This window comes from Homo sapiens, chromosome 3 (genome assembly GCF_000001405.40).
Source record: "Homo sapiens chromosome 3, GRCh38.p14 Primary Assembly".
NCBI lineage: Eukaryota > Metazoa > Chordata > Mammalia > Primates > Hominidae > Homo > Homo sapiens.
Window position 1 is genome coordinate 123,022,996 of NC_000003.12, and position 25,416 is coordinate 123,048,411.

General features: G+C 46.6%; 1 protein-coding gene across 15 annotated transcripts in view, besides 2 other annotated features; it reads right to left on the reverse strand.

Annotated features, from left to right (window-relative positions):
- The window catches only part of SEMA5B (semaphorin 5B), a 119,524-nt gene extending 113,914 nt beyond the window's left edge, over positions 1 to 5,610 (reverse strand). For 14 of the 15 annotated variants that reach the window (NM_001256348.2, XM_047448354.1, XM_047448352.1 and 11 more), the window contains exon 1: positions 4,469 to 4,768. The gene's annotated coding sequence lies outside the window, so the exon portion shown is untranslated. Of the gene's footprint in view, positions 1 to 4,468; positions 4,769 to 5,451 lie in introns of those variants that run through there. The other variant, NR_046079.2, reaches the window with a different exon arrangement.
- Positions 5,372 to 5,879: an enhancer, noted in NCBI's record as "NANOG hESC enhancer chr3:122747214-122747721 (GRCh37/hg19 assembly coordinates)". NCBI's record gives its function as "activates a minimal SCP1, AML or CMV promoter by ChIP-STARR-seq in naive H9 embryonic stem cells {active_cell/tissue: H9 hESC(naive)}" and the evidence as "EXISTENCE:reporter gene assay evidence [ECO:0000049][PMID:30033119]".
- Positions 11,048 to 11,602: an enhancer, noted in NCBI's record as "OCT4-NANOG hESC enhancer chr3:122752890-122753444 (GRCh37/hg19 assembly coordinates)". NCBI's record gives its function as "activates a minimal SCP1, AML or CMV promoter by ChIP-STARR-seq in naive H9 embryonic stem cells {active_cell/tissue: H9 hESC(naive)}" and the evidence as "EXISTENCE:reporter gene assay evidence [ECO:0000049][PMID:30033119]".

Genomic DNA, 25,416 nt, shown 5'->3' on the forward strand with positions numbered 1-25,416 from the left:
TCCAGATTACCCATTAGAGGATCATCTCCTCAGCTAAGGCAGATGTCATCAAACCAAAAGTCACAGAGAGGGGGGTTTGCAAAAGTATAGCACGATGCCAGTGAAAAATCCAGGTGTTGTCCACACAAGCTATAAATGAAGGGCTCAATTCTGTCAATTCAATGAAATTCCATTAGTCCAGGCATTTGCTTTGGCCTCTTGCCATACATTTAAGACCAAGTTAGTTAAGTGTTGTCATAAATTTAAGGCCAACTTAGTGATAGGTAAACTCATATGGAAAGATCTGAATGTAAAGAAAACTCATTCATTAGAAGTAACTATTTCCAGCACACACACACACACACACACACACACACACACACGAAATGAAGACAAGCTAGTGATCAAGGTGACTGAATGAGGCAAAAGATGGTCCCCAGAACCCACTGGGGTTTAGATCTTTAAGTATAAGTAACACTCCCTCCAAGCACTTGTGCATCCCCAGAGCTCCAGATGCCCAGATCTCCAGGAGCCTGGCTTTGCATCTATTTACACCACAGGTACAAAGTAGGTGTTTAGCTTTGATGAGTGAGGAATCTGAGGCACAGAGAGGGAACTTGGAACTAGGAAACAGCTAAGGTGATGGGATCCTAGCCCTCTCACCCTCCCCCAAAACCCTGGACTCCAAGTCCTTTGGACAACTCCACATTAGCTGTCAGGTCCCCCAGACAAACCCACAGGGGAAAAAACACCACAGTAAATCACCACAGATGTTGAGGCAATGCTGATAATTGTGTACCCTTAGTCATGCTGATTTACCCCATCCTGGGAGATCAGAGGCATGTGTTGTTTACTGTTGTATCCATGGCTCCTAGAACAGTGCCTGGCACATAGTAGGTGAGTGAACACAGGAGTTTACTGCCACTGGATGGTCTCTTTTACCCTGTACCCAGGCAGTGACAAAGCCAACACTTGAAGATCATGGGAAACATCTGTCTACTGCCAGGGTATAGGTGGTGGGGCACCAGAACTCAGCTCTGGGTTCTTTAAGGCAATATAACATAACAAGGTGGCATGCACTTCTAATCAGGGATCTTGTCTTTTTGTCTTCTTTGTCCATTCTACCACCTCAGTCATCAATGAAAGTGGTGAACTGGTTGGCTGGTAATGAGTTGCTAACTCAGATCATTGGATATAAGAGGGTGACCAAGACTAAGCACGGGAGTGTTATGGTCAGTGTTCAAATAATTGGACCCAATAGCATCATCTTCCTAAATACACATACTCCATCCATAAATGTCTGCTGTTCCTCTATCCCCTTGATGGGTTCCCATCCCTCTTTTTAGATCCCCACTCAGGCATCAGGGCTTTCTGGATGTTCCTTGGAATCTGCAAACATCCAATGTGAGCTTCTAGTCTTATCTCATCTAACCCTATTGCTACATTAGATGAAACAAAAAGTTATGGTTGAATTTTCTCTTTTTTGTAAAAAATAAAATTGGTTTACACCCACTGGATTCCCAGTGGGAATGGGGACAGGAGATCTGAATCCAGTCTTTGCTCTGCATGTGGAACCTTATATCAATGGATGTGATGTGCTCAGATTTGAGTAAAACAAGATGGCTCCCTCAAGGAACTTATCATCTGACAGAAGAATCTTAATGGGCCCTGAGAATGAGGGTGAGCCAAGGGCCCAACAGGTCAGAGGTAGAACCAGGCCATGAGATATTCCAGTCAATCCCCAAGGTACAGGGAGACAAGATAACATGTATATCCAAGGCAGATGAGCTCACTTCTTAGAATCTTAATATCTTTATCTATAGATATAAGGGGTCAGGCTACTTAAAGGCTGTTAATTGATTTTGTTAGGATCATTTCACTTGGCCAGTTTGGCTTTGAACTCCCAATTGTCCATAAGCTGGGCCACTCTAATTGCCTGATCAACACACTGTGACCTGCCTGCCCTCTGTAGGCATTTGAATTTGTGCTTCCCCTGACATGGACAATCTCCAGGGCCTCTCCCAGCTTTGAGTCTCAATAAGAAGTGACCACTGTAGGGTCTTTCAAACAAGCCAGGAAGTTCATCCTAAGACAAGAAAGTTTCTGGGGCTCCTCCAGTCCTAATGGGGAGGTAGCAATCTACAGTGTTGGGCTGGACCTCTCGGCTTCTCTGGTTTTCTAGTCTGGCACTAGAAGTGGTAAAGGAACTTTTTCCCCTCCCTAGTGGGAAAGGAGGTGCTGGCTGTCCTATCTCAGGGCAGAGTCAATAAGCCCAGCTCTCTGTCCCACCTGAGTCATCGAGTTTTTTTTAACCCTTCCTCTCCTAAACCCTTGGGTCATCAGGCACCTTGCTGCCTGTACAGCCACTGCATGTTCCTCTCCATGTTCTCCCTCCCCAAACACATAGACAAGTGTCTCAGGATCAAACTGGTGAACTTACTAACCTCTCTGGGCATGGGCTCGGCCCTGTACCTCTTTTTATCTACCAGCATTTAGCATGGTGCATTGCACATAGTAGGTGCTTAAACAGTGTTAGATGTCCACGGTGATGATTATGGTCGCTACTGTTGGCTTTGGAGGAGGAAGGCTCTGGCACTGGCTGCTTGGAAAAAGAAAAGGGATGGAAGATCTGCCATTCCTTCCCAAACTGGTGGTGATAGGTGTTGATATGGAGAAAAGAGCTCCCCCTGAAACCCACACTCACCTACACACACCTTTCCCAACACAGCAAGCCAGAGGCAGCCCTGCCCCGAGTGGTCTACCCCCACGCCCCAAGGCCCAGAACAGTTCTCACCGCCCCATGAGTGACCAAGTGGCAAGTTCCCCCATCTCTCCTATATTTTATCTCCTTTCCTCCTCCGTTGAAAATCTAGACTTCGGGAAAGGTACTGGCTGTTTCTTTCCAAGCTGCTTTCAAATCTGCCCCCCTTTTCCGTAATCTTGAGGTCCAGTTACAAGGTTCAAGTTCCCCTCTTGCCCCTTCCTCAAGGTCATCTGTCCCGGCTTAGAAAAGGTGAGAGGCCACTGCTGATTGTCAAGAAGAGAACAGGCTTAAAAAGATGAGCTGAAGTGGGGAGGCCGAGGAGCAAGCAGGCAGGGAGGGCTGTGGAGAGAGGCCCCGAGGCCGAAGTGGGTTGGGGTGCCTGAGAAAAGCGGAAGGAGGTCGGATTCACTAGGGGCTGAAGGAAAAAGATGGGGTTAGGGCCAGAGAAGGTAGGATCGTGGTGAGGTCTAGACACAGGCAAGCTTCCAAACCCTCAGTCCCAATTCCGTTGGCCGGGAAGGAGTGCATGCCAGGGTAGCCCGCCCTCCCGGCTCCTGCTGCTCTCACCCCGCCCCTCTGCAGAAAGCCTGGGCAGGATCGCAGGGGTGCGGGCAGAATCCAGCGCTCCTCTCTCCCCATCCAGACTCTCGGCCCACTCCCGCCTGGCGCGGCGGGCAGTCGGAACTACCCAAAGACTGGGCTCGAGGTGGGGGGCGGGGGCGGGGAGGAGGGGGCCAGAACGGCGCTGCAGGTGATCCTCCTCCTTGTTTAAAGTTTGCGGTGGGCAAAGGAGTCGGCTCCGTTGGGCCGGGTTTTCTCGAGCCTCGCCTTCTTCCTCCGCCGGTCCGGCGACCACTTCCCTCTTGGCTCCCGCCCCGCGCGGGTCCCCGATCCCCTCTCCCGTCTGCATCCCTCTCTGTGCCCGAGCGCCCCCCGCTCCCTCCCTCCTCGCTGGATCTCCCGCAGGACGTGAGCGGAAAGTGAATGGGCAGCCCCAACCACAAAGACAAATTACCATGAGAAACATAAATCGGGAAATCGCCGCTCGCGTCCCTGCTTCCAGCTGCCGCACCCCTCTCCACCCTCCCAGCCGGGAGTGCGGGGCCCTGAGCCACTGCCCCTGGAGCCTGGTGGGCAGAGTTCACGCTCCGCAGGCCTGGTCAGGGCAAGAGTGTCCTGGAGGCGGGTCTGGGAAGAATCCGGGCGGCGGCTCCGCAGGCGGCGGCGGTGGAGCAGGGACGTCCCTGAGCGGGAGATTTCACACTCTGGGCGGGCCACGCGTTCCCACGCGCCTCGCCGCCCGCACTCTCCCTCAGTGCTGTTTACTAGCCGGCCCTCTCTGAGCCTCCATCTCCGCACCTCTGTCCCTCCGTCCCTCAGCCTCACTCGTCCGTCTCCTTCTCCAGGCCTGGGTCCCGGGTCCCCATCGCCGCTGCAGCCCAGATGCGCCGACCACAGCCCTGGCAGGGCCCAGTGCAACCCGGACCCAAGCTGGCTGGCGGCGGGAACGCAGCAGCGATGAGGGCTCTCAAGCCGAGGTGGCAGCGGGAGGCGCGGAAGCCAGGGGACCCCCTGTCCTCCCGCCCGCAGCCTCACCTACCTGGCTTCAACTTGCCAGAGCCCGGACCCCTACCTCTCTACCCCGATACCCACCCGAGTTGCTGAAGTTTGCAAGTTGCAGCCCCAACCCGCGCAGGGGAAGCGCCCGGGGCTCCCGGGACTCACCTCCCAGAGGCGGGTGCAGGTGCCCGGTTCCCCGCGGCTCCCGACTCCCGGGCGGCGCGGAGCGGCGGGAGCTAACCAGATGGGCTGGCGGCCGGTCTGGGAATGGGGCGGCCGCGCAGGAACGGCCTCCAGCTCTCAGCGCTCCGGTGCAGTCCCCACCCGGGCCCGCGCCCGCTGCGCTCGGGCTCCCAGCAGCCGCTGGATGCGCTGCCGACCCGCCCGGCTCGGCGGAGCTGGGCTCTGGCACCAACCCCCGCGCTCCAACTAGCTCCCGACCCGGCGCTCGGAGAGAGCAGGGAGGAGGAGACCGCGGGAGCAGAAGGAGGGAGGGGGCGGTGGGGGAGGAGTTGCAAGCAAAGGGAGAGAAGGAGGGGAGCGGGAGCGAAAAAGAGGAGGGGGCTGGAGCAGACCTGCCGCGGCGGGCGCTGCACCCGCCAGCCTCGAGGCGCGCGGAGGAGCGCGAGGGGGCGCCCTGCATCCCGCGGCTGCTCGGCCGACTCCCGCCCCGGGCCTGCCGAGTGTGGTGACCAGCCCGGTGGGCCGAAGCCCCTTCCCCGGCCGGCATTCCGGCGGCAAGACCTAGGACTCCGAGCACTTGCCGCCGTTTGCCACATCCCGCCTTGCCGTTCTCGGTCACCCCATCTCGAATGTGACATCCCCGAGGGCCATCGGCGCGGCCTGCCCACCCCAACACTCAGGGCCTGAGGAAGCTCCCCCAAACCCCACTCCGGACTCCCACATTCCCCAGCCCCGTCAGTTCGGAACGATCTTCCTGCCTGTGGATTTGAAGGGGAAGGGACCTCGTGTAAAACGGGGGAGAGCCGTTATAACCTGCAGCGGCAGAGAGGGAGGCTAGGCTGCTGGGCTGGGCTGGAAAGCCAGAACTGGCCGGATTAGGGTTAACCTTGCAAACTGTACGATACCGAGCGAACCTCTCCAAGCCTCAGTTTCCTCAGCTGTAAACTGGGGTTAGTAATACGCACCCTACAGAATTGTGAAGAACGAGTAGGGGATACGGGGAGTAAAATAACATCAGGAACAGTGGGAGGGCAGCCAAGAGATGAGCGATCCGGGGAGGTGGTGGAGCGTTCTCAGCTGAGGACGGAAGGTTTAGCGCAATCACAAGGAGCGAGGCCGAATTGTTTACAAGTTTAAGTGATCTAGTGTTTCTGATGGCTAGAAGGCGGGAGAGAAAGATTCAAGGGGCAAGCTTCAAATCCTAGCTGCCCGGGCTGCAAGAGGGATGGGAAGGGAGCCCTCTGCTGAACAAAAAATATATTTGAAAATGTAAAAAAAGGTGACCTAAGAACGAGTGAGAAAGACAAAGGATTTGAAAAATTAAAACCAGGAAAGTGTGATTCTAAGAGATAACCAAAGAGAACTATGAAATAAAAATAGATAAGTTGGAGGAAGGAAAATATCAAAAGACTTTCTAGAGTATGCCAAAAATTGGATAATTAGAACAAAGTCTGAGTGAAGCATTTTACATAATAAAATTCTGGGTAAAGGAAAACCCAGATAAAGCAGAAGAATTGAGACACTAAGAGCCCCAGAGAAGCACCTCCTGCCTGCCATCCTCCTACCCCTGGACCATGGCAAGAAGCAGTTTGACAGGATAATGGGAAAGAAAGGGTGGTTCTGAATCCAAGAAGGGAGTTTATGAGACACTGTAAAAAGAGAAACAGTGCAAGATCTCAAAGATAGACTTTCTAGGGCAACAGAAATGCTGAAACTCATAATGTGCAGAATGGAGAGAAACTTGCAAAGGGAAAACACGCTCTGGACACAAAGGCAGAGATGCAGAGAAGAAAAGAAAGGAAACGGGCATGTGTGGGCATACCAGTCTGGTAGCCCAGTCTGGGGTAAAAATCAAGTTGGAAGAGGCAGCATGGGATATTGAGTCCAAATCTATCATTTTATCAACAAGGACAATGAGCTCTGGACCATTCTCCCAGAGTCCCAGGCTGAGATAGGGATAGGTCTCCTGATCTCCACCGTGGAACCTTTCCACTGCAATGAGCGTGCCCCCCCCCCAACCCCCATTCCCTGCAGAGCCATGGGGAATGTTTTTGTCATCACAAAAAATAGAAGTATGTGCAATATAGAGATACCTTTTAATTAACACAAAAAACCACGAAGCTATTCCATACTGCAGGACCAGGGAATGAACAGGAGAGCTTCCAATTTGTCTGGTTGGGAGAATAGACAAAATGCCTTCTGAGTGGCTCTGTCAGCCACAGCTCTCCCTTGAAAGATAACCAAAATATTCTCCACCCTTCACACATTCTCTCACCTGCCCTCTTGTTTGCTACCATGTTTTGATTGTGTTCATTCTTTTCTTCCCACTATCATGTCAAGGCCTTTCCTGGCTCTCCCTCTCCATGTTATAAAGTGGAGAGGGGGTTTGGGGGCTTGGCACAGGAAGGGAAGAGAGGAGACTCCAGGCTGGGGACACAAAGAGGGAAATTTTCCTTTTCAGGGGAAGCAGGAGCCAGGACAAGGAGGCACCCAAAGAGACAGACCAAGTAGCAGGGCAGCTAGCAACATTGGGCTAATTAATCCTAATTGCATCCTAAAGCATTGTATTGATTAACAGTGATTACTCAAGAGCTCTCAATACAAGAGAGCTTCAGAAGCCCAACCCTCCGGAAGAGACAGTTTCTTTACTGGCCTGGCTTACCACCTGCTCTTTGGCAAACCCAGCCTGGTTAGAATCTCTGAATCATTTACTTGGAACAAAACCTGGAGCATTGATTCCATCACCACAGTATCACAACCAGCTTCTGCCACCTTCCTTAGACCTTTGCAATAACCTATAAGATAATTGCTTCTGTTAGGAGCAATTCTTCTTCTACCGAAACATTGTAATTAAGCAGAATGGAAATATAGTAATTAACACAGTGTTATCTCAAGCAAACAAGCTAAAGAGCGGTGAATATAGGGGGTGACGGAGTTTTTAGGATTCACTCTTGACCTAGAAATTCCAAACTTATCTTGAACTAAGGTTGAAAGAGTTTAAGAAATAGATCCAAATTCTCATGCTCAAGAGCAGGAAAGGGTGGAAAAGCTAGGAGCACAACACTGTCTTCTTCCTCCCACCTGAGGGCATTTTCTGGGAGATAAAGCTAAAAAATGAGTGCAGGCTCTCCCAAGAGGCCATCTCTCTCTCTCTCTCTCTCTCTCTCTCTCTCTCTCTCTCTCTCTCTCTCTCTCTCCCCTCTATGTGTGTGTGTGTGTGTACACATGCTTGTGCATAGCCCAGGCACAAACACAAACCTTGTCTTGCAGCAAAAGGCAAACAGCCAGTCATATACTAATAGGAGACAGAGAATTGAAAATAAAAAGACAGCACGTATAATGTCCAAATTGTTTTCTGCTCCCAGAATTGCCTGCTCATTGTGCCTGGGGATGGCAAAGAAAAAAGAAAATTCCCACCCCAGAAGTCATTGTCAATTTGTGAACCAAAACCTTGCTCAGGTCAGAGGAACTGAAGTGTCACTGAATGACTGCTTTGCCATTGTCCTGAACTAATGTGAAAGAAGAGATCTTCCTTCCTTCCTTCCTTCCTTCCCATTTAAGTGTCACTCACTAAGCTAGGCAGAGAGGTCATAGGAAGAGCTTCACAGGCAGGCAGGGGAGGCAGACGTAATCATAGCAAATGCAAGGACTGCCACAGGATGGGAGCTCTGCGGGCACATGGAGAGCCAGTTACCATCCTACCAAACAGGACAAAGAAGTCTTCATTGGAAATGGCCATTCTAGCTGAGAATGGAAGATAAGGCAGGAATTTGCCAGACAGAGAAGCAGGAGGAGGCAGAGTATTCCAGGCAGAGGAAGTAGCATGTATAAAAGCACAAGGCGATATAATTAGATTTCTGTTTGAAGAATTACTTGCCCCTGGTTAACAGATTCAGAGAGAGCTGAAGCAGTAAATGTGAGCAGGTGTTTCATGTGGTGGAAAGAGCACCGCACCAGCAGTTAGGGCTCCCCAGTCCTAGGATGAGCTGGGCCACTGATGAGCTGAGTGTCCTTGGACAAGCCTCTTAATCTCTCCAACCTTAGCTCCTCCTGGATAAAATGAAAGGGGTTGATCCACTGGTTTGTAAGCTTCTCCTTGCACATGTATTCTATGATTCTGTCTCTACCTGAAGATACTTCTTTAAATCCTGCTCTACATTATGCTCTTTACCGTATTTGCACACTTGTTCCTTTCCTTGTGTATAGCACTTTACAGTTTACAAAACTATTTGCCATATACTATCCCCTTTGACCTTCACAGCCATGTGAGGGAGACAGCTACACTGAAGACCTAGATAAGCTTGTCCAGTCACTGGCTGTAAACCTCTCTGTGCGGATGATGCCCAAGTTTGTATCTGCAGCTCCGGCCCTCTCGCTCTCTCTTAAAATCTGGATGTATAGAACCAACTGCCTGCCCCTCCTCTGCATGACCATCTAAGAGACATCTCTATCTTAACATACCCAACACTTAACTTCTGATTTGTTTTTCCAAGCCAGCTCCTCCCTCAGTCTTCCCCATCCTAGTAAGTAAAAACTCCATTCTTCCAGTTCCTCAAGGTCAAAAGCTTGAAGTCATTTCATACCCTCCATTCAGACCATCCATAAATCCTGTCGTCTCTATCTTTGAAATATTTTCAGAATCTTACCATTTCTCCCCACCTCTTCTACTTGTGCCCTAGTTCAAACCACTCTCTTCTCTCCCCTGGATGTTTGCTCTGCCATTTCTAACCTTTGTACCTACAGTCTGTTCTCCACACGGAAGCTGTCCTAATTCAGATCCTATCACTCCTCTGCTCAAAAACCTTCTATGGCTCCCCAGCTCTCTAGAGAAAAAGCCTTAGCAGCCCCACAAGGCCTGTCTGACATTATCTGCTAGCGCTCTCCCTATCCTCACTTCTCTCAGGCTTCCCCAGCCTCTCTGCTATTCCTCACACACCCAAGGCTCTCACCTCAAGGCCTTTGTACTTGATGCTCTCTCTGCCTGGAAAGCTCTTTTGCCAAATGTCCACATAGGTCATTTCCTCACTTCCTTTAATCTCTGCTCAAATATCAATTCATCAGAGATGTATTACCATCTTTTCAAAAATGACAAATACTTGTCATTATCACCATCTGACATTGTACATATTTATTGTCTGTCTCCCCTGACCAGAATATAAATTCCACAGGAGCAGAGGCCTTGCCTGCTTTGTTCATCACTATAGCCCCAGCTTACAGAACAGGGCTTGGTTTTTGTTTGTTTGGTGGTTTCTTTTAAAGGTACAAAATAATGATTTAATAAATGAATGATTATTATCCTCATTTTACAGATAGGAATCAGGGATGCAATTGGTAATTTTCAGAGCTAGGCTTGAACTGAGATTTTTCCATATAAATTTTTTTCTCCAATTGCTTATTAGTTAATATTTATATTAGCACTTAAAAACTCTTTAATAGAAAATGTATATTATAGTAAAACATGCTAATTGTTTTTCAACCCAGTTAACCACCTGCAGCATTCCAAATCACAACAGAGGGGAGAATTAGCTCTGAAACCCACAAAAAGTGTTCATCAATCCCACATACACGCAATTTTTCTGGAACCATTTTTGTTCCCTGTGTTACATTTCTAGTTTTTCTTCATACAGTCCTAAGTCAAGGGTGTGGTGAGAGATTGGGAAGGCAGGCTTTGTAGCTTGGCCTCGGGCTGACACCCAGGGGTAATCACATCTCTCTTCCTGAGCACTCATAAGCACCTCTCTGCTTTCCTCTTTCCTGCTCAGCTGGCACAGACTGTCAGATTTGGGCTGAGGATAAATCAAGAGGAAGTGAGGTATGGGTTGTGAAGATCAGAGGCATGGCTGGTTCAGGGATGACACCAGGCTTCCTGGCAGATGAGCAGGATAAAGGGTCAAGTCCAAGGGCTCAACTCCAGGCAAGGAAGACAGTGGCAACTCTTCGGATGTTTAGACCCAAGGAAGAACATAAGGTGTGGTCACCCTTCTTGAAGGCATTTGAACACTAGAGATCTGTGTCTGTGATTATCTCCCAGGACCAGCGTGAAGCCACAGAGGTCCTGGATAAGATCAGGACAGGATGGGCGTTGGCCAAGGTCACCTAAAGCAGTGTTCCCAGAAGGAGATCTGTATCCCATTAAAAAAAGGATCTGGGCCGGGCGCGGTGGCTCATGCCTGTAATCCCAGCACTTTGGGAGGCCAAGGCGGGTGGATCACCTGAGGTTGGGAGTTCGAGATCAGCCTGACCAACATGGAGAAACCCCGTCTCTACTAAAAATACAAAAAATTAGCCGAGCATGGTGGCACATGCCTATAATGGCAGATACTCGGGAGGCTGAGGCAGGAGAATTGCTTGAACCAGGGAGGTGGAGGTTGCAGTGAGCTGAGATCACGCCATTGCACTCCAGCCTGGGCAACAAGAGCGAAACTCTGCCTCAAAAAAAATAAATAAATAAAAGAAAAGGAAAAGATCCCAGGTTGTAACCAAAAAGGGCTTGGGCCTGGCCTGGTGCTGAGAGGACCCGAGCAGGACCATATCTCTGGGTAGGGCATAAGGAGGGAGAACCTCCTGCCTGGTTGGGGGTAGAAAACCACTGGAGTGGTTGAGAGGTCCAGAAAGGCTTTTGCCCCCACCAAAATGTCTCTCCTCTGGTGTTCCATGGACTAAAATCCTCATAGCAGTGAAATAGTAGGTTGGCCTAATGCCTTATCTAAACGAGGCAACACATACATTAGCAGCACCTTAGCAGGAGTGGGAGATAAACAGCCATTCCCTTTGAATGATCTATTGAGCACACCTCTGTACCAGGACCATATAAAGCACCTAGAACCCTAGCCCCCGGAGAGAAGGCATTCAAGACATTGTTATTGATAGAAGGCATGGAGGGATGCAGCAGCAGACGATGCGTGACCGTGGGAGGGCCAGAGAGGCCTTGAATGCCATGGAATGGGGCTGGAATTTTTCCTATAGTCCAGGCAAGGGAAATAATACAAAGTTTGGGGCAGAAGGCTGATGAAGTGAGAACAGTAGCAGTGGCTAAACTTGAGTGATGGAGACCAACTAGGAGACTGTTATGACAGCCCCAGCACCTGAGTAGGATCCTGATTGGGGCAGATATGCCAAAAACAATGAAAACCCATTATCCACACTTATTGCATGAGGTAGTACCCTAAGGGGTCAGAAAGCAGAATAGGGAACTAAGATGGGGAGGAATAAAAAAGAATAAGAGAAACAATACGAGTGATCATTAGAGAAAGGGGGAGTGTGAGCCAAGTGAAGTAAGTGAAGTCCTGATGAAGACAACTTTGCCTGAACCCCACCCATTTTGCTTTGTGCTGGCTCTGCTCTCATCTGGGAAATGAGGGGGATAGAACGTGCCCTTAACACATCCTGGCAATGCTGCAGGTAGCTTGGATCTCAGATGTTAGCCAAGAAGCCCTGATTTGAGTGGGAGGCAGCAGGCTTCCTCACTTCAATTAAATAAGAATTTTCACACCCCTGTTATTTGCTCAGTTCTGTTCTGAGGCTAGAGAGGACACACACAGAGGATAAGCAGTGCTTAAGGGATGATCATCTTATTGGGAACGTGAGGTGCAAGCAAGAAGTAAATAGCAGGTAAATGCCAGATTGACTGCTCCAGGCAATAAATACTGGAGAAGTTCAGTGGAGAGGGAGTCGCTGAGGCATAGTGTCCAGGAAGGCTTCTTGAAGGAGGTGGGAATTGCCTTGGGTCACAAAGAAAATGTGGGCGTGGGCAGATGCAGGTGATGAAACATGCATTTAGTGGAATTCTTTAAGAAAGTAAAGGAGGAGTAGGTATAATGAGGAAAAACCTATAACCCACTTAGACTTTTAAAGAGCTTTTGACAAAGTTCTCTAAGAAAGGCTTTTTTGAAAGGTTAAGTCACCATGAAACTTGAGGGGGAGGAAAGAATGATATCTCTTTTATCAAGAGAATGGCTTAGAGACAGAAAATAAATGGTAGGAACAAATTTAGGCTTCAGCCAGGCACAGTGTCTCATGCCTGTAATCCCAGTACTTTGGGAGGCTGAGACAGGAGGATTGCTTCAGCTCAGGAGTTCAAGACCAGCCTGAGCAACATAGTGAGACCCCGTCACTCTAAAAGAAAATTTTTTTCTTAATTAGCCAGGCATGGTGGCGCACACCTGTAGTCTTAGCTACTCGGGAGGCTGAGCAGGAGGATCCCTTGGGCCTAGGAGGTCAAGGTGGCAGTGAGCTAAGATCCAGCCACTTTGCTCCAGCATAGATGACAGAGCAAGACCCTGTCTCAAAAAAAAAAAAAAAAGAAAAAAAGAAAAAAAAAATTTAGGCTTCTTTAGATGGTCCATTGTTAAAATTTTCTCTTCAAGAATCTGTGCAATAAATGGATAAACAAAATATGATATAGACATACAATGAAATATTCAGCCTTTAAAATGAATGAAATTTAACATGTTACAACATGGATGAAACTTGAAGACATGCTAAGTAAAAAAGTCACACACAAAAGGATAAATACTGTATGATTTCACCTTTATGATGTATTTAGAGTAGTCAACTCACAGAAACAGAAGGTAGAATGGATGTTGCCAGTGGCTTGAGAAAGGGGTAAAATGGGGGGTTAGGTTTTAATGGGTGCAGAGTTTCACTTTGGAATGATGAAAAGGTTGTAGAGATAGAGGGTGGTGACGGTGGCCGAATGCAAATGTGCTTAATGCCACTGAACTGTGCACTTCAGGAGCACTGAGACAGCACATTTTATGTTAGTGTATTTCACCATAATTAAAAAGGAAAAAATACATATGTGGAACGGCCCAGTTTATGTATTAAAAAGTAAATATTTTTAAAATAAGTTAACATGATACATTTTATGTTGTTTATATTTTACCACAACAACAGCAAAAAAAAAAAAAAAAAAAGAGTGTATGCCAAGACTGGTATAATTTAACATCTTTATACGTGTTCGGGAGGGGAAGGTCACATGACAAATCTTTCCCTTGCAGATGGCTCCAACTATAATCCTCCAGGTACAGTGGCAAGAAACTGACAGGCTTTGACAGGAGGAGGCACCAGAGCATTGGTCTTTGACCCTGGATGGACATTAGAATCATCTCCGGGAGCTTTTGAAGATATCCCCAGAGAATCTGATTTAACTGCCCTGAGTGAGGCCCTGGGAATTAGTGTTTTTTTTCAAAGCTCCCGGGTGATTCCAATCCACAGCCAGGGTCGACTGGTTAGAGCATCAAGGCTGAAAATCTCAGACTCCCTGAGTTTGAGTCTAGGCTGTGTCGTTTGCCAGCTGTGTGATGATCAGGTTACTTAATCTGTCTGTTTCTCAATATCCTTGTCTTCAACATTGTGTAATAATAGTCCTTACCTCATAGGGTTGCAGAGAGAATTAAAAGAGATACTGTAAGGAGAACATTTAATACAGTGCCTAGGGCATTGTATGAGCTCACTAAATGTTAGTTATCATTACCCACCGAGTTTGTATAATTTGGCAAGAAAAGGGGCAGATAAATTTAACGTGGCATGTGCAGATACGTTTAAAAATAAAATCCAAACTCTGTGACTAACATCTCTGTCAAAAGTCAGGAGAGGGCCTTTGGAAGAATTTTCCCTTCCAATACATGAGTTGAAAGTCCTGCTTTGCTCCAAAAGCCAAGAAAACACGTCAGGCATCAGCGAGGGGAGGAGGTGGCTGAAAATAACTGAGCCCCCACCCCCTCATTTCTTTAAACATGATACATCCACCTCTCACTGATTTGTGCTGGGTTCTAGTCACTGAACCTCTGATGTTCAGATACTGGAGAAGGAACGGAAGAGAATAACTCAAGGCTGCCGAGGGAAGACAGGCCAGAAAGGGTTAGAACCCTCCAGACTGGAAAAGGACACAATGGCAATCAGTAAACTCATCAATAACCAGAAGATCAACAAGGACTTATTCAACCCAAATACTCGCTGGAGGGGAAGATGAGAGAGGAATAGTTAGAGCAAATAAAAGGAATAGGTAATAAAATTGTGGAACAATTTACTCCAAGATGTAGTACATGAGGGAAATAGAAATGAATTCACAAAGCATCTGGACAAACTAATGTCAGAGATGTAAATGGATGCCCAGGGAAGCTGACATACGCTCACCTTGAAAGTCTGCATCAGGGAAGGTAGTGGGCATGTCCCTCCCAACAATGGAGAGACCATGGTCTGACCAGCATGTGCATTCTGATGTGTTTAGTGTCCCTAAGGAGGAATTTGCCAAAGAGTCAGGAATGGAAAAGAGTGTGCTGTGTTCTAGGGACAGTGAAAAAATTGGATTGGCTACAGTGAAAGGGCCAAGGACATGAGGGGGATTCGTCAGGATAGGTAAGGCTGGATCAGATTATCAACAGTACCCAGAACCAGTGAAATCAGCCCAAGAATCACAGAATATTGTAGCTCCTCTAGTCCAACACCTCCCTTCAAAAGATGAAAAAGTAGAGCTCAAGGGGATACATTCACTTGTCCAACATCTTACAATGTGTTGACAGCAGAGCAGAGATGGGAACCCTGTAGCTCTTCTATAATACCGTATGGTGGACTGGGTCTGGGACTTTGGAGAAAGACTTACCAAATCAATGACCTTGAGAAAGAGCGTTATCTCCTCTGAGCCCCAATGTGAAATAACTTAACCCACTCCAGGCCACATTAGCCTGGGGATACAAGTAAAGACTTGGCAAAAGTCCCAAAGCTGTTTCTCCAGCTCCACCCTCTTAACTTGGAAATTGCAGCTTTCCCCCATTTTTTCCTGGTAAGTCCTTGCAAGCCCCAGCACATGCCTCAGTCGAGTCCAGGGCCCGAGTCCTGTCAGCTGCCCTTGCTCTGCCCCTCCTTCTTGCCTTGGCTGTTTGGGTCAATGTCCCTAGACTCTACTGATGTCTCATTTTAAGTCCCCTCCTAGTGTCCAAGAACATCTCCAAGTTAAGTTTCCTGATGCTTGTGAAGAGGGATTGTTTTGCAGGTTGCAGAAAACACTGGCCTCGACTTTTCTCTCACTCTCCTTTGAAAATGGAACTGGAGCAACTTTTGGTGTTTCTTGGCTCTGCACTGCAGCTGTCGTGCCTTAGGACTGTCTGGTCCAGAGGACAAGCCGAGCGATACACTCGCCCTTGCTGCACTCAGAACTCTTCCTCTCCTCCAAAACTGGCTCACCGCCCTTGAATTTCTCACCATTGTGTCTCTAGCACAGTGCTGGGTACATTATAGATGCTCAATAAATATTTGTTGAACGAATTAACAAATTCTTCTCTTCCAGGTGGATTCTCTCTTCAAGCTTAGAAAACTAATTTTTTTCACAGGAGACTCAAACCAATCTCTGCATTTTTGTCCACCCATTTCCCCCTGCAGTCTTATGGATAGGCTTGTTTGAACCTTAGGGTAAATATGGCTTTGGCTCCAGCTAGGAATTTGGGATGCATGCAGTGAGACAATGTAGACAAACAGGTCCAGCAGAAAACCTGGGATATCACAGATAACCCAACACCATTATTCCTTTTCTTTCTTTTGCCTAACTAGGATTACTGACTCAGAAGGGGGAAAAACATCAAAGGCTTCACACAAAGAAATCTATTCAAAATGAAAGCAATTTGGAGACAGGAAAATTATGGTGTATCCACATCTGGCATAATGTGGGTAGTTCTAGTCATTTAACTTTAAAAAGGCTATGCTCGTGTTATTTATTACAATTTTAATTTAGACCTCATCTATTTCCAAAAAGGATTCAAGGCAAGTAAAAAGGTTAAAAAATAAACAAACACTTACATAGAACAAAAGAAGGAAATGAAAAATAAACACATGAACCAGTTGGTTGGTTTCATGCGATTCAAGAGTGGAGAGAGTGCAAAGTGGAGCTGGATGGAAGCCGAGATTGTCCATGGGTGCAGGGCAACAGGTCCCAGGTGCAGGTGGAGGACAGAGATGGCTGGCAGTGGATGAACAATCACAGGTCAGCAAGTTTGGGATGGAGACCAAAGGTGTACATCTATGGAAGTTCCTCAGGGAGGGGAAAGTTCCCAGTGTTTCTTTGAACAATCTGAGAAGAAAGTAGAAACCTGGTTAAAAGGGATCAAAAGAGGCATGTTGGTAGATTTCAACTTGGAAATGAAAAAATAGCACTGCTTTGGAGGAGGCAATGTGTACTGATGCAACAGAATGATATTTGAGATGATAACCACATTGTTCTTTTCTTCTCTTTTTCCTCTTCTCCATCTCATTCTGGCCATAAGGCAAAGGGAGAGAAAGCCCTTATCCCCTGGGCTTTCTAGGCCTTGAGAGTGACATGAGAGGGTGAGTCAGGTTCTTATGAGTGGGTCAAGGAAGTTAACTGAGAGAGAGAAAGAGCCCTAGGAGGGGATCTCTGTTGGGATGAGGGGTCACGCAGCAGAGGGATGTGGTGTGGACTGTCCCCACAGTGAATCTGATTGGGATGTGATTACAACTCAGGGATCCCCAGCACCAGGACAGTGCAGTCTCTGTTTGAGCAGGACTGTTTATTACCCCAGCCAAGCCCAACTATGAGGCCCGCAGAAACTGCAAACAGACACCACTATCCACCTCAGAAGCACACTGCTACTAGGGGACCACTTAGGGAATCCCACCTTTCTCCAGGAGCTCAGAAAAGTGGAAATCATCCTGAATAGACTAAGTTTTAAATTAAAAAAAGACTGAGAAATACTGAAGTTTATTGATTGTACTTGAAAGTCACTAGAATAAATTTCTTGCATCAAGCAGAATACGGGCTTGGGGTCAGAAATTAACTTGAGTTATAAGAAAATGAAGTTACACGTTTCCACACCTGAGTCTTTTGATGTGAAATTTGCAGCTACTATTCTGATTTGTATTGTTGTTGTTGCTAGAGTAACACCTCAATTAACCAGAGAGTATCCTTCCATGAGCTTTAAGCTCCAGGAATAGCCCCAAAATGGATATGAAGGCTATTTCTAGTGCCCTGGACATGGAGTGACAATGAAAACAGTAAAAGAAGAAAAGGTCTGCAGAGCTAACCTGAGACTGGTTGATTTGTATGCCAGAAATCCTCATACTGTCTTCTCTCTTCCACCACGACTGAGTTGTATGACCTCCAGGTCATTTAATGTCTCTGAGAACAGTAACTGTGGAGGGGGAATTGTGAGCATGCCTAGGACACCATGATGTGCTCTTTGTGTGCAGCCCATAATTTCCCTATTAGATGGTTATCTCCTGAGGGTCCCTCCAAGTCGTATTTGTCTCTCAGCCCCTCACATAGTGTTTGGCATATGCTAAGTGTTCACTATTTGTGTGTTGAACTCAAACCGAACAGGTTGACAACAGCTAGTGAGGTCAAAGTGCTCCCTGGGAAAATGAAGAAGAAGAAGGATAAGGAGGAAGTGGAAAAGAAAAGAAAAAGGAAAGGAAAGGAAAGAAAAGAAGAGGAGGACACAGAGTAAAGTAGAATGAACAGAGCGGGAATGTTGAAAAAGTCAGGCAGGAGCACGCCAGAGCCAGATCCACTAGCTGCGTGACCTTGGGCAAGCGAGTTTATCAATCTGGACCTCATCTGTCAAGTGGGAATAATAACAGTACCTACTGCATAGTGTCTATGTGAGGATTAGATGAGTTGGCTTAAGTAAAGTACCTAGTGCGTAATAAGAGTTGTGTATTAATTATTTCTACTATTAGACACAGAAAGGGCATATGAAAATGTGTACTCTCACTAGTAATTAAAGAAATGCAAATGAAAACAAAATACTATTGTCATCTATTGGCAAAGGTTTTTAAAACTTATTTACAGGCCAGGTGTGGTGGCTCATGCCTGTAATCTCAGTACTTTGGGAGGCTGAAGGGGATGAATGGATTGAGCCTAGGAGTTTGAGACCACCCTTGGCAACATGGCAAGACCCCGTCTCTACAAAAATTACTAAAATTCACTGGGCATGGTGGCGGGCACCTGTAGTCCCAGCTACTGGGGAGTTGTGGGGGTGCTCAGGCATGAGGATTGCTTGAGCCTAGGATGTCAAGGCTGCCGTGAGCCATGATCGTGCCACTGCTCTCCAGCCTGGGTGACAGAGCAAGACCTTGTATCAAAAAAAAAAAATTGCAATTCTTGAACCCTTCATGTTGTTGAACCCAAGGAATTGAGGGTATGGCAGTTGGGGAGAGGATTATCTTAAGACAATTTCCTTGGAGAGCGTTGTGCCGAGAATCACACACACCCCATCAGAGCTATGCCAATCCCTCAGCTAAAGCCGTGTGAAGGGGGATACAACGGGATCATTCAGAAAACTAACTATGTGACCCTTGCTGTCAGAGGCCAGGAGCACAGGAGACTAGTGTCTGTCATCTGCTTCATGAAACCTAGAAGGCAAGAGAGGTGGGCTACTTGGGAAGCTGAGAGCAAAAGGGTTGTGGTCAAAAAGACACAGCAGAGGAGTCTCAAAAAAATCCATGAAGGTGCCCAGAGACAAAGAGTCAGCTTTAAAGCTCTGCTCTGCTATGAGAACACAAGGACATTTGATGACAATACCAGTGAAATACAAACTTTCTTGTCCTTGTTCCCATGTCTTCCACCCTCGCTGTGACCAGGGAGGGATGAGAGGGACAGAAAAGCTGACCACTCCCATGACCAAAGGCAGACAGTCTGCCTGCAACTGATCCCTGATCCCAGGTAGGGAACTGGGGAGGAGTCTTATCCTTGAACGAAAATTAAAGTGGTAATAAAATTAACATTCTGTTACTGAATTCCAGATTGTGTTTGCATCTTAAAGTGACCATGGCCTGTTTTACTATCTAGAAGTAAGTAGAGTTTACAGTCGGGGTAGAGTTTACAGTCAGAGGGTAGGTTTCCTCCACCAAGTAGATTTAAAGAGACATGGGAAGCAAAACAAGAAAAGTTATTTTATTGTTACATTCTATGAATCCTGTTTGCTCCATGTGCTGCTTCTGTGTTGTTTTCAGGCAGTGCTCATTGTTGCTTTGGGTGTCTGTATTTGCTTGCCCAGCATCCAGCCCCAAATGCTGATTTCCTGATGAGGAAAGACTCCTCCCCCAGTTTTGCAGTTTTGATAGGCACTTTAATAAAAGTGCCCCAGCTGCCTCTGGCTAACAGAAGGGCCCGTAGCCAAGCGCAGCCAATTGGATGTTCTCTCCAGACTCTTGAATCTGAGGGCAGGATTGGCATGCAGGAGTGAATTCATCCCAGCAACTAGCCGTAATTAGTTCCTGTGCCCAGATCCCTGGATCTTCCCTTGATTCTATGGACTACCCTGTGTCCGCCAAATAAATTATTTTTCCTTATAAATTAACCACGGTCGATTTCTGCTACATGCGATGGAAAGATTTTAAGTGTCAAACTGGAGGGGAAACGCGGCAAAAAAAGAGCTTGCAATGAGTGTCATCCTATGAGAGGGATTCCCAAGTTCCTCTAATGAAAATGTCAAAGAGCACATCTCAGCTTTTGTGGAATGTAGACAGTTATGAGAGATGGCAGGTAGATAGATGAGTGCACATAGATAGATAGGTAGACAGTCACACATATAGGTATATATGGATAAAACTTTTATTTCAATTATCATATAGTCATCCTCCCTCTGGCCCAGTGCTAACTGAAAAAGCAAATGGATTTAAACAAGCAAGTGTGGTTGATGGAGTCATGTGTTTTCTGAAGGGCTGCCTTGGCATTTCAAAATGAGACACAGAATTAGATTATATCAAGTTAGGGAAAAGGAATCACTTCGTCATGAAGTTGTAGACCAATTTTCGGGCTTTTTCAAGGAAATCTTTTCTGAATACTGTCTTTCTAGAGCACTTTTATAGTTTTTCTGAAACCAGTTTGTTATTATGTGAGGCTTAATGATGTCTATCTCAGTAGGTATCAGTGAATCAAATGTCCTGGGGTTTAAGCAGAATAAAATAGATTAAAATCAAGAAATGTGTAGTGAACCCTGTAGCAGATACTGTTGATGCCCTACCCAATAGCTACCTTTTTGCTAAGAGAATATATGTACTGTTCAGATATTGGGTAGTCATGTATTTCAAGGATGGATCGCTCCAGCCCCAGTCCAACAGTCTTAGTCATTCAAAATCATTCTACTAATTCTGCTGGCGACTGGCTTTGAAAAGGACATGTGACTGAATTCTGTCCATTGATCCATTAGTAGCCACTGACTGGGTAGATTGTTCCGAGAGAGGTTTCTTAGTCTTAAATAAAGGCACAGGGCCAGGCGCGGTGGTTCCCAGCATTTTGGGAGGCTGAGGTGGGCAGATCATGAGGTCAGGAGTTCGAGACGAGCCTGGCCAAGATGGTGAAACTCCATCTCTACTAAAAATACAAAAATTTGCCGGGCATGGTGGTGCACTCCTGTAATCCCAGCTACTTGGGAGGCTGAGGCAGGAGAATCACTAGAACCCAGGAGGCAGAGGTTGCAGTGAGCCAAGATGGCGCCACTGCACTACAGCCTGGGTGACAGAGCAAAACTCCATCTCAATAAAATAAAATAAAATAAAATAAAATAAAATAAAAAGGCACAAAGAAAAGACTGTCCCTTTTCTGCCTCTGGATGGCGATGTGTGAGGATGTGATGCCTAGAGATAGTGCAGCTATCTAGTGACTGTGAGGAAAGCTAGCAAGTGTACTGAGAATGACAGAAAGTAGAGATGGACAGAGCTGGGGTTTTTGATGTTGTTATTAAACCAATAAATTGACCAACCCAAAAAACTGTCCTTGTTACATGAAATAATAGTAAATCTCTTCATCATTTCATACATTTTAAGTTGTTTTCTGTTATTTGAAAGCTCTTTCCCACCAGGAGTTTACAATCTTTTTTAGAAATTTAACCATATGAGGCCAGGCGCGGTGGCTCACGCCTGTAATCCCAGCACTTTGGGAGGCCAAGGCAGGTGGATCACGAGGTCAGGAGTTTGAGACCAGTCTCACTAACATAGTGAAACCCCGTCTCTACTAAAAAAAAATAGAAAAATTAACCGGGCGTGGTGGTGTGTGCCTGTAATCCCAGCTACTCGGGAGGCTGAGGCAGGAGAATGGCGTGAACCCAGGAGGCGGAGCTTACAGTGAGCGGAGCTCATGCCACTGCGCTGCAGCCTGGGCGATAGAGTGAGTCTCGGTCTCAAAAAAAAAAAAAAAGAAATTTAACTGAATGAATCTTTCAGTCTTTCAAATACATGACACCAGTTCTCTCAAATATATTTTTCCTAACTGGTACTTATGTCCATTTGAACTTTTCATGAATGATTATTTGAGAAAAACAGAACTCCCTAGGTAAGCCAAGCTATCTTATTATTAGGTAATTATAAAATGCTCCCCAAGGTTGAAATCTGACAATATTCTCACGGTCTCCCTGCCCTGCCTCCTCCCCTTCATCTTCTCCATGTTACTTCCCTGATCTGACCTATGGAGAAGGGAGATATTCAGAATATGAGGTATTATTACAAAACAAATGTCATGAGCAAGCTGCTCTACCACGTAGACACTGTAGAAGATTTTTTTCCAGCCTTGTGACAATATTAAAGATATGGTTTTCATATTGCTTGTGCTTAATAGGTTGTTGAAAGTCAAACATTAAAAGAACTTGGGGAAATCATGACCAGTGGCATATCTGGAGAAAAGTGTCACCTGGTGATGAGAAAGATGATGATGTCAGCGATGGGATAAGCTGGGGTCAAAAGACACCTGCGCAGCTTCTTGGCAGTGGCAAAGAATAATCTTCCCTCAGACTCAAAACAAAAACCTCCTAAATATAGAAGGCACAGTGCATGAGTCTGGTTCCTGGGGGTAGAGATGCAGATATAACTGACCCAGCTTCCATGGCTGTGGAAGAGTTAAAGGACACCAATGGCCACAGTGAGGAAGAAAAAGCTATTCTGGAGGACCAAGCAATCACTGAGGAGGCAGCTCCGACCTTTGATTTGCTAATTAATTTTGCAAAAAGGCAACCTGCAGTACATGGCTCCCAAGAGCAGACAGGACACAACCTTCACCCAGCTTTCAGAGAGACAAACAAACAGCCAAAAGCAAGCTGACTTTGGGGCTTTTCCAAAAGAGCAATTTGCAGGGCATTTCCTGGGGTCAGTGATCACTCAGCCCTCTGGGCCATCCTGTCTGCTGCAATTACCACAGTACAAAGAAGTGGCCAATGTTTGGGAGGCTGACCAAGGAGCCTGCAGGGCAGAGAGGGACACCCCAGGCTTTGATGCCACCTCTCTCCTGTCGCTCCTGCCTCTAGTCTCCACCTATTGTTAGGAGTGTGACCTCAGCCGAATTTCTTATCCTTTTTTTAACCTTAGTTTTTCTACTTGTGAAGACAACAGGCCCACCTGCCTTACAAGATTATTGTGATAAAAACTAAAGGAGATGGTGTGAACGTAGTGAGTGCCTACTGTTTTGTGGAGCCGTACCCCTTTGTCTGGAGACTCCCACACCCATTCCACCTACACGGTTTCCAGGGCAGTCATCCTATCGGTGCCAAGACCACCTGCTCCTTGGCCACAGTTAATCAGTTCTGAGATGCACACCAGCCAAACCAGGCCAACTACAGTCCTATCCTGGGAAGTTGAGGAACTGAAAAAATGAAGAAGGGCCAATCTCACTCCTGGAAACTGAGGACCAATAAAAGATGAAGATATCCTTGTTCTGCAGAGCAGAAAAAGATGGGCCTCAATGAGAGAGAAACCGAAGGAGTCCAAAGACAAGCAGGGGTGAAGAGAAGGAGTTCTTCCTGGGAATCCGCAGGGCTCCATCCGGGTCCTAGTCAATTCTCAGTACAACAGCACCTTTATAGACCCCATAAAGCCCTCGAATACATCTCCAGTTTTGCCTAGCTTAGCAAAAGCCATGTTCTAATACGTAGAGTGCAGAGAGTTCTTCATAATACAGCTTCTTGGCAGTCAGGGGGTTCTCACTCACTCATTCAACAAATAGGTCTTGAGTGCCTCATTCAACAAATATGTCTGTGCCAGGCACATCCTGAGGGCTGGAATGCACAGTCCCCATCCTCACGGAACTTATGGTCCCATGGGGAATATGGGCATGCCCCAAATAATCACCCAAATAAATATATGATGATGTAACTCTTGGTTCCTTTCCCTTGTATTATTAGAAAAACGCTAACTTATGTCTGACACAGACATTTAAGAAGATCGAGAAGCATCTTAATGGGGTTAAAGGTCAATGCTGGCACTTCAACAGTTAAACTTCAGCCACGTGGAAAAGGCACCAATCCCAGCAGCTCCTTCCCTCCTGCCAGATGAGGGAGGCGGCACTGTGTATCCGTGGGCTTCACAGTTCCCCTTGGTCCCCATCATCACCTTTATTGCTCTCTTTAAATCCTGGGGTTTCAATTGTCCTTCCCATCAGAATGATTCTGTTTTTAACAACCCCAGACCTTTCTCTTCGTTATTCTCTAGCCCCAGGCTGGTGCATCCACATCATCTAAGAGAGGCATCGTTCCCAAGCAGAGGGCAGTGCAGACCCCAAGGAGCTGTGTTGTCACTGATTTATGACTCCCCATCCTCTGCCTGTTGAGGAAAATCACTTTATCAAGATGAGAAATCAGGGCTGGGGGTGGAGCAGTGTTTCCTGATTGGCTCCAAACACTCTCCTGCATATTTCAGAGGCACTTATATTTACAAGTCATCAGGGCTGCATGCAAGTGATGTGGAGAGAAATGACCAAATATTGAACAGAGGGGCGTGATTTGCCTTATATTTATTCAGTTATGCTTTTCAGGATGTAAAGGATGGAGTGTAGCAATTCCGAATGTAGAAATAACAAGCAGGAGCAGCCGGCCTGCACCCATTCTAGGGGAGATACTTTTCTGCCTCTTAGTCTCCCATTCGATGGATCTGAATGCACTTGGGGTTCAATAGTATCATCTTCATCACCATCCATGTCATGATCATCACATTTCAGAGCTGGCAGGTTCTTAAGCATCCTTCTGGTCGAATCTATTGTTTCACAGATTAGGAAACTGAGGTTCAGAAAGGAGGAAAAACTTGCTCAAGGTCACACTGTGAAATTGAGACTGGGACTAAAAGCCAGATCCTCTGACTTCTGATCCATTGTTGTCAGGCCTTTTGTAGGCAGCCTGAGGTGCTGCATGCTGTACAGTGGCCTTAGTGTTGTTTGTAAGGAAATTTTTTTTTTTTTTTTTGAGTCGGAGTTTCGCTCTTGTTGCCCAGGCTGGAGTGCAATGGCGCAGTCTCAGCTCACCGCAACCTCTGCCTCCCGGGTTCAAGCGATTCTCTTGCCTCAGCCTCCCAAGTAGCTAGGATTACAGGCATGAGCCACCACACCCAGCTAATTTTGTATTTTTAGTAGAGACGGAGTTTCTCCATGTTGGTGAGGCTGGTCTCGAACTCCCGACCTCAGGTGATCCACCTGCCTCGGGCTCCCAAAGTGCTGGAATTACAGGTGTGAGCCACCGCGCCCAGCCAGGTATCTTAACATTAGGGTGTTTCCAGTCTCAGACAGACATATACAAAAATGCACAAGAGAAATTTTTTGTTTTTACTGTTTGTTTCCAGCTAAATAATAATGTAATCATATTATAAAAACCTGGAAAGTAGGAAAAAGAAAGAATTAGTCGTATCATTCTAACACAATCTATGTTAGCATTTTGTTCTTTTACTTTCTACTTCCTTTATATTTCATTCCCTCCGCATGTAGTTGTAATTATAGTATATCTGCACAATTTTGTGTCCTACGTTTTCATTTAACTTTATGGCACAAGAATTTTCCATGTTATTACTTTGGCTTCATAACCATAATTTTAAGGATTACTTAATATTCTACCAGAGAGATATACCACAGTTTACTTATCCATTCCTGTATCACTGGACATTTAGCTTTTGCCCGTTTTTCATTAACATAAATAATGCTGCAATGAACATCTTACGCATGTAGCTTC